This window comes from Homo sapiens, chromosome 4 (assembly GCF_000001405.40).
Source record: "Homo sapiens chromosome 4, GRCh38.p14 Primary Assembly".
Taxonomy (NCBI): domain Eukaryota; kingdom Metazoa; phylum Chordata; class Mammalia; order Primates; family Hominidae; genus Homo; species Homo sapiens.
The window spans coordinates 149,680,522-149,694,401 of NC_000004.12; the positions used below are offsets into that span (position 1 = coordinate 149,680,522).

General features: G+C 34.2%; 1 protein-coding gene across 16 annotated transcripts in view; it reads right to left on the reverse strand.

Annotated features, from left to right (window-relative positions):
* IQCM (IQ motif containing M) overlaps nt 1–13,880 on the reverse strand; it is a 464,135-nt gene that overhangs the window by 328,813 nt on the left and 121,442 nt on the right. For 12 of the 16 annotated variants that reach the window (XM_017008904.3, NM_001363507.2, XM_017008902.3 and 9 more), the window contains 2 exons: nt 5,857–5,947; nt 1,597–1,685 (listed from right to left, as the gene is read on the reverse strand). In XM_017008904.3, coding sequence (XP_016864393.1) covers nt 1,597–1,685; nt 5,857–5,924 — 157 coding nt within the window. In that variant the 5' untranslated portion in view covers nt 5,925–5,947. The remainder of the gene's footprint in view (nt 1–1,596; nt 1,686–5,856; nt 5,948–13,880) is intronic. The other 4 variants (NM_001378180.1, XM_047450076.1, NM_001378184.1 and 1 more) reach the window with 1 other exon arrangement.

Consider the following 13,880-nt stretch of genomic DNA (forward strand, 5'->3'; position numbering starts at 1 on the left):
AAGTATACTTCAATTGGGTGGTTTTTCCTTTTTAATTTACATTTGTTCATTCATTTAACATATGGTTATTAGCACCTACTATGTATGTGTCATGCACTGGAATAAGTATAAGGAGTCTTTTAGCTTCTATGAAGTTATGGTTCAATTAATAAACATTTCACAATTCAGCAGAACATTTCTGCATGGGTAGAACCTTTAGCAAATTTCAAAACTTATCACATGGGTGACTACCAATTCTGCCAGCCTTTTCCATTCACAATTTCATAATAATCTGTAGCTAATAACCAGGATTCTCTAAAATATTTTAGAAAAGTTTTCTACTCTTGTTTAGCATTAAATAAACTATGGTCTAGCTCCTGTATATAAGCTCCATAAATACAGAAAAATAAGACTTAAATGAATTTCAACATCCAAACTAAAGCTATGAGAATTGCCAAGTCCTTCAAAGAGCTAAAAAGTTCCTCTGCAAGATGATGACACAACTGACCCATGTGAGGTGAATGATACTTGAAGACTGAGGCGTTCATAAACCTTTTGATCATCCTGAATAAATTCTAAATGTCACAGAATTAGTAGAACTTTAACTGATGGTAAAGAGCTATAGAACACAGCTTTCAAGGAGATCAGATTTCAAGAGTATTATTTATTACACCCATTAGACCCTAGCCTTGTATAAATATTTGCCTACATTTACTTCCACACATGTATATTCAATTTTAGAATCAGTTGAGACCCATACATTATTGTATTGCCCTGGGACCTCAAATTATCTAATAAAGCCTTAAAAGAATTTAAGCTCTGAACCAATGTAACAATCAAAATTGTAAAATACATCTATTGCATATCTTCAACATTTTGACAGCATATTCACAAATTTTAGTTTTGGTGAATATTGATTGGAATCATGAAAACATGATTCATAGAATTTGTTTGGAAGTGAGCTTCCACTTAATGCTTCAGTTCCTTCTATAATAATCCAAACAAAAGGTGGTAAAATTATAAAGGATATTATATGCAAAAGTGCCTTGAGAACCCAAGGAAGAGTTTATTCAGCAAATTTTTAAAAATTTCTTCTGAAATCAATAAAAGTCCTACTTTACAAGAAGAGTTTTACCTTAATGACAGCCTGAAGCTCATGAGGAACAAGTTAAAAAGCGGGAAAACTAAAAAATAGTTGCTTTGAATCAATAGCCCCCTAGGTCTTTAAGCAGTTCAAGTTCCAGAGAGTTCCTCGATCACATTTAAGGGACTTTAAAGAATCATCTATATTCTCTTTTAAAGAATTGTATGTATTTTTTAAAAACAACAATAACTCAACTGTAAATAAACTTTTAAAATTACAAATTTTGTCTTTATAATTTACTACAACCTGCAATATTCATATTTTTAAAAATCCAGTCTCTCAATTTCAGATAAAGGCATGGAAAACTAGTTATTAGTAGTTGTTTCCAAAATCTGCTTATCTTTGATACAGTGTTTGAAATGAAAATAAAGGAAATAACTCTGTTCAATACTAGCTCTTTGTTTTTGCATTTAAATGAATGCAAAATAATGAAAATCAATGTGCTGCTACCAACATTTATGTATAAGACTCACCAGGTTCTTTCAGAAGTTCCAAGTTAGAGGTCCCAGGTTGTAAGTAAAGATGGACAGGAAAGGGATAGAGTAATTCCAACATTCTGTTTCTGAAACATTAAGTTGGATCTTTAAGTAATTTGATAGTCCCTATTTTGTAATACAAATCTTCAACACTAAAGTTATGGACTAAATGCTAATCATAGAAAACCACTTGTCTCTGGTCAACAGGACTACACCTGTTGTTCCCTCAGTGCCTTGCAGAGTAAATATTATTAAACAAAGACAAAATACTACGAAATTTTGCTGGTTCTGAGACGAATAACAAATAGGAACATTTGCTTTCCAAATGAGCCCAAACTAGCAAAAATCAGGAAAATGAACAAGCATCATATCTATCTATTTCTTCAGTGTTTTGCAAGAGATTTTTGAGTAGCATGTTTTCCTAACATGATTGAGAGAGCTTCAATCTCAACAGCTGAATAAAGTCAAGTATCACATAGAAACTTTGGAAAATGTGAGTAAGAAAAAAAGAAAGAAAATAAAAATCTCCCCTAATCTTATTACCCTGATATTTTAGTAATAATTGCAAACCCTTCAATGCTTCCTATAGGCCAGCATTTAGGGCACTATTCTAATCCTTTTTATATGTTTTACCTGATTTATTCTTCAAAACAAGCATGTAGGTACTTACTATTATGATGCTCATTGTATAAATGAAGAAACTAAGACATTTAGGGGTTCAGCAGTATACAGTTCAGATTATTCCAGCTAGAAATGGGTGGGGTCAGGACTCAAATTCAGTCAGTGGGACTTCAGGAACCATATTACTATTTTATACTGATTCCATTCGACATGATTAGCATATGGAATATATTTCATTCCTTTTCTCTGTTTAAGTGTACATAAATGCACGCAAAATTTTATACTATTATTTTGCACTAATATATCACAGAGATCTTTCTTTATAAATGTACAAAGGTGCACATTGTTATTTTGACCCATTACATAGATTTCCATGTTATTTTGGCCCATTACATAGAAATTCATTGTATAGATTTTAACATACTGATCGCTTATTTACCAGTGTTCTTCTGTGGGATATATTTGTTGGTTTTGCTTTTTTGTTGTTTATAAACAAGGATGAAAATCTTTGAACATTTATATTTGTGCACCTGTATTTCCTTGTGTTACTATAAATGCCTAGAAATTAAAATGTTGGTTTGAAAATTATATAAATCTTACATAAATTTCTAGAATTTTAAAACATTTGCCTAGAAAGCAGCATGGTCTATGAAAGAGGGGACTCTTCAGAGATTCACATTTGGCACATAGTAGGCACTCAATAGATAGTAAAGAAATAACTAATGATACGATCTATTAATTTGACTGTCACTCATGTGGTCATGCCCACAGAGTTGGCCAAAGGACTGAGGTATCCCTTAAGTTGTATCAAGAGAAAATAGAGAGACGTGAGTATGCAGTCAGTTTTATAAAATTCCATTTGAAATTCTATAACGTTTTTATATATCACCAAGAATGGGGTCAAATTTCATTGATCAGGCATAATTTCCTTTGCTTTCTAATATCTAGTCAATGGATAAGTGTTATTTAATCTCCAAGTTAGAACTAATTATGTATTTTCAATTGTTCCTGACTAATGAAAGATTCTAATGGAAGTAGACCATTCAACCACTGAAGCAAAATATTTTACAGACATTAAGATGAAATGGCAGTTGCTTCACACAAATGTGAAATGCCAGGAGGGATTCTATCATTATTTTATAATATCCTCATTCTGTTATGAAATTGATCAGAACAACCTAAACATGAATTGTCATGTAACACAGGAAACTCACTGATCACAAAACTGGGCAAAGAAATCCAGGCTCACTTGCCTAAATTACAGAATGCATTTACTGAAATGCAGTTGTCATAACTTCAAATGCACCAAATAATATCAACTAAAAATTAGCACTAGTAAATAAGTGATTAATAAATGCATTTTGTTGATGGGAAATTAAAATTTAGGATGAACCCATATCTATCATCATCATAAAGAGTATTTTAATGTAGGGAAATCTTTGAATTTAGAATTCAAAGGTACACTGAAGAACTTTACCTTCTTAAACTTATATTGAAATTGTAACAGTATTCAATTGTGTTTTCCCACCACAGGTCAAAAATAGACAAGTTTAGAAAAGGGAAGAAATCATATATTTAAAAGATTTGATCATATTCATGTTTTGCTCAAGGAAATTTCTTTTGTTGGGCCAATATTTCAATAGTCATCCCAAAAGTATTAGAGTCATCTTAACAATCAGCATTTTTCAAGGCATCTTCAGGATAATTATAAGTTGTTTATATACAACTTTTCTCACAGGGGTCTAATTAACTTGAACAAAAACCTTTTGGGAGTTTCATAAAGAGTTGGGTCATTCATACTAATTAGTCCTAGAGCCTGTCCCTGCATTGTTAACAATCTCATATCTAATTTCCCAACTGATTATATTATCTTTTCTTCTGCTTATATTCTCATTGCTGTTTCCTTATCTTCATTATGTGGTGAACTCGATTTCAAAAAAAATTTTTGCCTAATGACATTCTATTTGTCTAGTTAAGCACAGGTTTCCAAAAATCCTTAGTCACCACGTCCCAAAGCACTTATTTGTCTTTCCCCCTGCATTCCCATCACACTTTTAACATTAATGAAATGAAGCTAACTGTTAAAGTAGGAAACAAGTTACCACCATCAACTAGCTATAAATAAAGACAAGGCAGCCCAGGTGTATTGAAGCTCAGGCTTTACATGCCCTGAGCTGTCACTGGAAGTACATGCACTTGCTCTTAATTTCAAAGGATGTTGATCTTCCTCATTAAGCAGGATATGTTTTCATTAAAAACAGGAAGTTAGGGTGTCAAGGGACCTTTATCTTCTACCAGTTGCAGAAGAAACAATTCTTCGGAAAATAGTCAACTCTCTTAAGAAAGACATTATACTGAAAGATATTATACCTGATCAGATTTATTAATAAGTGCTTCACTTGTCCCTAAAACATTATTATTCTGCCATGGCTTACCAGCCTCATCTAAAGATACTGAAAATGATTTTCAAATCAGTTAACCTTTTCAGTTAGTAAAAGCTGACTTGAAATTCTAAACAATTTGGCTAAATTGCTATATTAACTACTCTTTTAGGAGCTACCAATTTGCTAGACCAATTTGGATCTTGAGTTAAAATGGGTAACTCAAAGGCAGAGAAGAAATTTATAAAAACTAGTAAATTTCCAATATAATAATTTCTTTTCCTTTGTAATTAATATCTTCCCTTATCATGGGTATAACCAAACCTTTAGTATTAAGGCTGTGTATATATTTCACTCTTTCAAATCTGAGTATTGTATGACACTTAAGCCAAGAAAGTGGTTACCCTGAGCATGGATCTTCTAGTGTTAAGCACATAGCTCACAACTTAAACGTTGGAAGACCCATAAAGTTCTTCATAGCCTTGCCAGCATTTCCTCAACTAACTTGTAGCTGTGCCAATTACCCCAAATTTCTGACCATGTTATAATATCAATGAATTATTGTAAAACAAGCTACTGAAAAATATATTTTAGCAGAGAAGTATTTACTGTCTGTAAGTATAAATGTTCTTACCAAATATGTGCTGAAGGGCTTAGAGGTTCTATCTATAGCTTCAGCACCAACTATTGTGTATGTAATTTTAAAGTTGTCTTGAAGATGGTGATGCTATTTCATGCAATAATTCAGAAAAGGAACTGACCCATCTCCAGACACTTTTGGAAAGCAGAGGCAATGCTCAGAATTCCTGTGTTCAAACTATGTTCTGTAGAACCAGTGTCACCTTCTGTTAGAAAGACTAACCTTTAATTATTAGATTTAGAAAGGAAAATTATAACTTACTCTGCTCCATAATTGCTGCAGATGAGTTATTAAAATTCTAAACTTATGTAATATTATCATAAAATATGGCATTTTTTTCCCCAGGAAAGCCACAAATTGGATTCAAGCTTATGCACTGTAAAACCCAGATGGTTTACTTAACTACTCAGACATCCTCCAGTTCAAAAGTTAATTGAACTGAAAACAAAAATTTTGATAATTGATATGCTTTGAGGAACTCAAGCGGAACAATAAATTAGCTTCATGTATGGGGTGTTAATAGAAAAACTTGAGAGACCATGACAATTGGTCAGGGAATATTGGCAAAGTAGAAGAAAATATATATTTTCTATAGGTTAGCTAATTATACATTACCTGGACTCCTCAAAGTGCTGTTGCTTTGCTGTCTCCATTTTTTTACTCACTGGTTCAATAATAGTCATGATTTTATCCAATTTAACTTGTCCTGAAATTTTGTTAAAGTTTTAATTGCATACTATTAGTTTTCAAGTTGTAAGTGCATTTTTCAAATTCAATTGCAAATCACAGATTTTTAATAACAAGAGCTATAATCTTTTAAAATGTTACTAACACAGAGATACTAAAAATCACAGCTGAGTAGTTTTCTTCACTCCATGCTACTCAGATGCTTTGCAATTACTAAACTTTAGGACTGAAAATTATAGTGCAAATGAACTACATATATCAGAAAGGAGATTGCTCTCAGAGAAATGGCTGCAACAGCATAGCATATACCGATGAATACAAACAGCCTCATTTATACATATCAGTATTATTATAATCATTATCATCACAAAGCTTAGTTCTTACAGAAGGGGCTGCTATTTTAAAATAATTTGGCAAATCTCTAGTTCCTATAAATAGGAACACAAAGTGCTCCAGAAATCTCATTATTTGATAGAGTAAGACTAAAGTTCACAAAAGGCAAAGGTTCTACTTTTTAAAAAATCTACTTCTTCAAGTCTAAAGAGAAATTTACATAAGTATTTTTAAAATACTCATTACTTTCTATTGTCCACAGATAATGGGACCAATATATAGTTTGAAATATTATAACAAAAATATTATCAGGTAACTATTGAGCACCTTCTAGCTACTAGCTCAGATATATTATTAATAAAAGATACAGAACACATGAGACGAAACCCTCTGCTTTAGAAAATTACAGGCTAGATGGATCTCAATGTCATCAAAAAGAAGAGCGTATTAGACTGAATTATGTAACGTATATTCAAAATGTACGTTCAGAGAACATAACATTTTTGTAGAAATGGAAAACAGAATATCAATATTGATTAACTACAGTCGGCCTTCGGTGTCCTTGGGTTCTGCATCTGCAGATTCAACCAACCACAGATTGACAATATTCAGAAAAAAAAAATTTAAAAATACAATACAATAAAAATAATATAAATTTAAAAACAATATAGTAGGAAAGCTATTTGCATAGAGTTTGCATAGCATTTTGTATTATAAGTAATCTAGAGATGATTTAAAGTACAGGAGAAGAAATTGATGCCAATCATTCTGACACTACTCCACAAAATAGAGAAAGAGTGAACCCTAATTCATTCTATGAAGCCAGCATCACCCTACTAACAAAACCAGGAAAGGACATAACTAAAAAGAAAACTACAGACCAATATCCCTGATGAACATAGATGCTAACATCCTTAACAAAATACTAGCTAACTGAGTCCAACAACATATCTAAAAGATAAGCCACCATGATCAAGTGGGTTTCATACCAGGGATGCAGGGATGGTTTAACATATGCAAGTCAATAAATGTGATACACCACATACACAGAATTAAAAACAAAAATCACATGATCATCTCAATAGATGCAGAAAAAGCATTTGACAAAATCCAGCACCGCTTTATGATTAAAACTCCCAGCAAAATCAGCATACAAGGGACATACCTCAATGTAATAAAAGCCATCTATGACAAACCCACAGCCGACATAATACTGAATAGGGAAAAGTTGAAAGCATTCCTTCTGAGAACTGAAACAAGACAAGAATGCCCACTCTTACCATTCCTCTTCAATGTAATACTGGAAGTCCTAGCCAGAGCAATCAGACAAGAGAAAGAAATAAAGGGCATCCAAATCTCTAAAGAGGAAGTCAAACTGTCACTGTTTGCTGAAGATATGATCATTTACCTTGAAAACTCTAAAGACTCCTCCAGAAAGTTCCTAGAACTGATAAAAAAATTTCAGCAAAGTTTCCAGATACAAGATTAATGTACACAAATCAGTAGCTCTTCCATACACCAACAGTGCCCAAGCAGAAAATCAAATCAAAAACTCAACCCCTTTTACAATAGCTGCAAACAAAAAATAAAATACTTAAGAATATACCTAACCAAGGAGGCAAAAGACCTCTACAAGGAAAACTAAAAAACACTGCTGAAAGAAATCATACATGACACAAAAAATGGAAACACATGCCATGCTCATGGATGGGTAGAATCAATATTGTGAAAATGACCATACTGCCAAAAGCAATCTACAAATTCAACACAATCCCCATCAAAATACCACCATCATTCTTCACAGAATTTTTTAAAAAACAATTCTAAAATTTATATGGAACCAAAAAGAGCCTGCATAACCGAAGCAAGACTAAGCAAAAAGAACAAATCTGGAGGCATCAGACTACCTGATTTCAAACTATACTATAAGGCCATAGTCACCAAAACGGCATGGTACTGGTATAAAAATAGGCATATAAACCAATGGAACAGAAGAGAGAACCCAGAAATAAACCCTAATATTTACAGCCATCTGATCTTCAACAAAGCAAACAAAAACAAAGTGGGGAAAGGACACCCTTTTCAACAAATGGTGCTGGGATAATTGGCTAGCCACATTTAGGAGAAAAAAACTGGATCCTCATCTTTCACCTTATACAAAAATCAACTCAAGGTGGATTAAGGGCTTAAATCTAAGACCTGAAACTATAAAAATTCTAGAAGATAACAGTGGAAAAATCCTTCTAGACATTGGCTTAGGCAAGGATTTCATAACCAAGAACCCAAAAGCAAATGCAATAAAAACAAAGATAAGGACACATGCACACCTATGTTTATTATGGCACTGTTCACAATAGCAAAGACTTGGAACCAACCCAAATGCCCATCAGTGATAGACTGGATAAAGAATGTGTGGTACATATACACCATGGAATACTATGCAGCCAGAAAAAGGAATAAGTCCATGTCCTTTGTAGGGACATGGATGAAGCTGGAAATCATCATCTGCACCAAATTAACACAGGAACAGAAAACCAAACACTGCATGTTCTCACTCATAAGTGGGAGTTGAACAATAAGAACACATGGACACAGAGAGGGGAACATCACACTATGGGGCCTGTGGGGGATGGGAGAACATTAGGAGAAATACTTAATGTAGATGACGGGTTGACAGGTGCAGCAAACCACCATGGCACATGTATACCTATGTAACAAACCTGCACATTCTGCACATGTACCCCAGAACTTAAAGTATAATAATAAAAAATAAAAATTTTAAAAAGATAAATATTTGGGACTTAATTAACTAAAGAACTTTTGCACAGCAAAAGGAACAGTCAGCAGAGTAAACAGACAACCCACAGAGTGGGAGAAAATCTTCACAATCTATGCATCTGACAAAGGACTAATATCCAGAATCTGCAACAAACTCAAACAAATCAATAAGAAAAAAATACAAAATCCCATCAAAAAGTGGGCTAAGGACCTGAATAGACAATTCTCAAAAGAAGATATACAAATGCCCAACAAACATATGAAAAAATGCTCAACATCACTAATGATCAGGGAAATGCAAATCAAAACCACAATGTGAAAGAACAGCCATAATCAAAAAATTAAAAACAGCAGATGTTGGCATGGATGCAGTGATCAGGGAACACTTCTACACTGCTGGTGGGAATGTAAACTAATACAGCCAGTATGGAAAACAGTGTGGGGATTCCTTAAAGAACTAAAAGTAGAACTACCATTTGATCCAGTAATCTCACTACTGGGTATCTACCCAAAGGAAAAGAAGTCATCATACGAAAAAGATACTTGCACATGCATGTTTATAGCAGCACAATTCACAATTGCAAAGACATAGAACCAACTCAAATGCCCATCAATCAATGAGCGGATAAAGAAACTGGTGTATGCATGTATATACACACACACAATGGAATATTACTCAGCCATAAAAAGAAATGAATTAATGGCATTTGCAGCAACCTGGATGAGATTGGAGACTATTATTCTAAGTGAAGTAACTCAGGAATGGAAAACCAAACATCATATGTTCTCACTGAAATGTGAGAGCTAAGACATGTGGATGCAAAGGCATAAGAATGATACAATGGACTTTGGGGACTTGGGGGGAAAGGTGGGAGGGGGATGAGGGATAAAAGACTACAAATAGGGTGCAGCATGTACTGCTTGGGTGATGGGTGCACCAAAATCTCACAAATTACCACTAAAGAACTTAACTTGTAGCCAAATACCACCAATACCCCAATAACATATAGAAAAAGTAAATACATTTTAAGAAATAAAACATATGGGAAAATGTGCATAGATTATGTGCAAATACATACTACACATTTTATCAGGAACTTGGGCATTCTCGGATCTTGGAATGATGGAGGTAGGGTAAGTCCTGGAACCAGTTCCCCAAGGATACCGAGCAAAGGCTGTATTTATAAGGTATTGGTTAGCATTCCTTGTGAATTATCTCATGTAAGCTTCAACAGTTTTGTTCTGTTTTTGTTTTTGTAAAGTACTGTGATTAGTCTGTTTACTCGGAGAAGCAACTTTCCCAAGATCCTTTAACCTGGAAGGTACAGAGCCAGGACTCCATTATTTTTTACTGTGCTCTACACTGCCCCCTGGAACTTCAGGGGATTCATCAGTAAAAGTGGGTAATTTCTGCCTTGTTTACTTCAGAAGGTAACTATAAAGCTCAGAGGACACACTTTATATAAAGACACGTGGTATGTTAAGTGATATCATATTAAGGTAAAGGAGAATTTTTAAGTTTGAGTCTTAAAAATAGAAACATTAAAATATTTGCCATATGCCAAATGTGCTAATTGCTATATATGGATTATCATGTTTTATTCTTAGAGACATCCCATAGATTAAGTACTATTACTATCTCCATTTTACAGATGAGGAAATGAAAGCAGAGGTGTGATTATTTTCCCCAAGATTAGACCATTAGCAATAGGTAGAGATGATATTCAAACCCAGGCAGATAGCCCCTGGAACCTGAATTCTTAATCACTCTGCTGCTCAATATTCCTGTTTGTTTACTGTACTTATTTATAGAGTATCTACTTAGTAAAAATTGCTATGCTAACTCCTGGGAGGGGAGCAGTGTAGAGTATAATGGTTAATAAAGCACTATTGCTACCTTCAATGGACAGCATAACAGTGAAAATCACTGCAGAAAAGTGAAGGAGGAAAAGGATGGGGCAAAGGTGATGGGAGGGGCAATCTGGAGATATAAAGAGTGAAATTTTACAGCAATGGTAAAGAAGTTAACCTTGCAATGAAAGAAAGACAATCACAGAAGCTAAAGAAAGCATTAGGATTTAGTGAAATTTTTGTTGTTGTTTTATTTTTCAAGGCAGGAGGTTTTCAAGTCAGATAGGAAAGGAGCCAATATAGATCAAGAGATTACAGATACTCACATCTGAATACACTTGGAATTGAATACATGAGCAGGGAACAGGTTCACTACATACCTAGGAAGGATATGATGAAGTTCACAAGTGAAGGTATTATTTAAGGATAATATTATTTTGAAAGCAACATTATGAAACTAAATTTTCACTAATGAGGAATTCACGTTTGTAAAAATACACATCTATGCTTAAAACATACAACATATATGTGTATCTTGGTTTATTTATTTGCAAATGCACAGGAAAGATATGGAAGAATGTACACTACAGCAGAGACAATTAGTACTCACCAAATTATCCATGTGCTCCCCTATATTTTCCATACCCCTTTAAAATTACTTTGAGGACATGTAATTAGACTCTAACCAATGAGATGTGAGTACATGAGGTGTGAGCCACTACCAGACATGGGCTGAAGTCCACTCTTCCCCTGCCACAGTGCCCCAGGGAGCCTGTGCACCAAATGGTGGAGCTATAAGGTAAACTGTCTATCACACTGTGATTGATGTAGGGGGAAAATAAGTCTTTATGAAACATGAAGTGACAGAGAATCTAGGGTTCATTTGTTACTCAACAGAGCGCAACCTTTCTTGTCTAATATTACACCAAACTAAGACCATCAACAGTATCTATCTTTGGAAGGAAGTGGAAAATGTAGTATTGTTAGGACTTTCCCTTTCAATCCTATATATGTATGTATTTTTTAAATCTTTATAATGAGCTTGTGTTAATACAATAATTAAGAAAAAGATATGTCTATTTTAGAGAAAAAAAACTGTTAAATACTTTGGGTATAATCCTTTTAAGTGCTAAACTAAAAGCCCTCTATAGACCATTGAGCTAAGTCATATTAGGACTGCATCCAACATACAAAATAAATGCAGATATACTTTTTAAAAAGTAGTATATAGAGTTAAAGGAGATCTCTAAAAAGGCAATTAAAACATATGAAAATCTAACATTGCTGCAGATAAACCTTTAGATGGCAACTGAGACTTAGTGTGTGACTTTAGGCCAATTATAACATCTCTGAATTTCTAACTATTGCTTATGTAAAATCTAGTAGCTAAACCAATTCCACCAAACTAGAATTTCAGTTCTGAAATATAAATTATAAATAACCTCTGATTAGAATACTCATTCAAAGAGAGACCAAAAGGGAGACCAGGGCAAAAAAACAGAGGTAAAGTGATGAATTCTTAGAGGTTTTACAATGAAGTTAAGCAAAAGGAATGTAAGGCATTAAAACTGCCAACTTAGGTATGAGCTGACAGGCAAAAAAGAAAAACAACAACAAAAACTCCCAACCAAAAGACTCTAGTCTCTAGCACTACTTACTATGTGCTCCTCAGAGTCCAGCTGGAATTATTCATTCACCTGAGCTCAATCATTTGTTCATCTGAAATCAATCATCCATTCAATTTCATTCACTTCTGACAATTTTGCCTTTCTCCTTCATGGGCTCATTTTGCTTTGACCACCTCCAGCTATTGTGTGTTCCCCAAAGCTATTTCTTTCCTTGGCTACCTTCTAACCCTTTACTTGAATGATATGGTCCATGACCTTGGCTATATTTAGCACTTCAATGTGCACAAATCCATATATCTTGCTTAGACCACTCTTGAGATCCAAATTTGAATAGCCGACTATCTCTGTCTCAATCAACATGTCCCTCTCACACATAACGACACTACTGTCCATCCATAAGCCCGAAAGTCATCTCCACTATTCACTCTCCCTCAATCCCCTAATAGAGTCATTAAATCCCTTCCATCCTTTCCCACTCATACTCTCTCAATTCAGACCTTTATCATCTTTCATCTGGTACATTAGCAGCTTCTCCACTTGGATTCCTGAATCCAACCATGAAACTCTAACCCATCCTCCATACTTTCCATAAATAATCTTTCATTTCCAAATTATGGAATTTTAAATTATCATTGTGTTATTGTTTTCTAATTTAACATCACAGTAGTCAGAGAACAGGTTTTGTATAATTCTAATTGTTTGAAATTTGTTGACTCCTATTTTATATACCATTGTGTAGTCAGTTTTCATAATGCTCCATATTTGTCTGAAAATAGTGTATATTATTTAATTCTTAGGAGCAATGTCTTATATCCACCTGATAAATCAACTTGTTAATTTAATTGTTCCCCATTTTGCTAGTCATTTCAAGACTCAGCACAAGGGATATTCTCTAATCTATCTTAACATTGAAACAATTTGCAGCACTCATTGTTTGGTTGGCCCACCATCCCTTTACTAATCTGTAAACTCTCTGATCATGTGGACTGGGACTTATTTCCCTTGAATCCTCAGCACTTCCTTATAATACCCAGCACATTCAACAAACATTTGTTATAAGAATCAATCAATAAATAATTTGTTATAAGAATCAATAAATAAGACATTTAATACCTCTTATTCAGTTACATAGATTTTTCAGTATCACTTTTACGTTTGCCAGTGCCATGGATTAATTTCTTTTTTTTTTTTTTTTTTTTTTTTGAGACGGAGTCTCGCTCTGTCGCCCAGGCTGGAGTGCAGTGGCGGGATCTCGGCTCACTGCAAGCTCCGCCTCCCGGGTTCACGCCATTCTCCTGCCTCAGCCTCCCAAGTAGCTGGGACTACAGGCGCCCGCCACTACGCCCGGCTAATTTTTTGTAT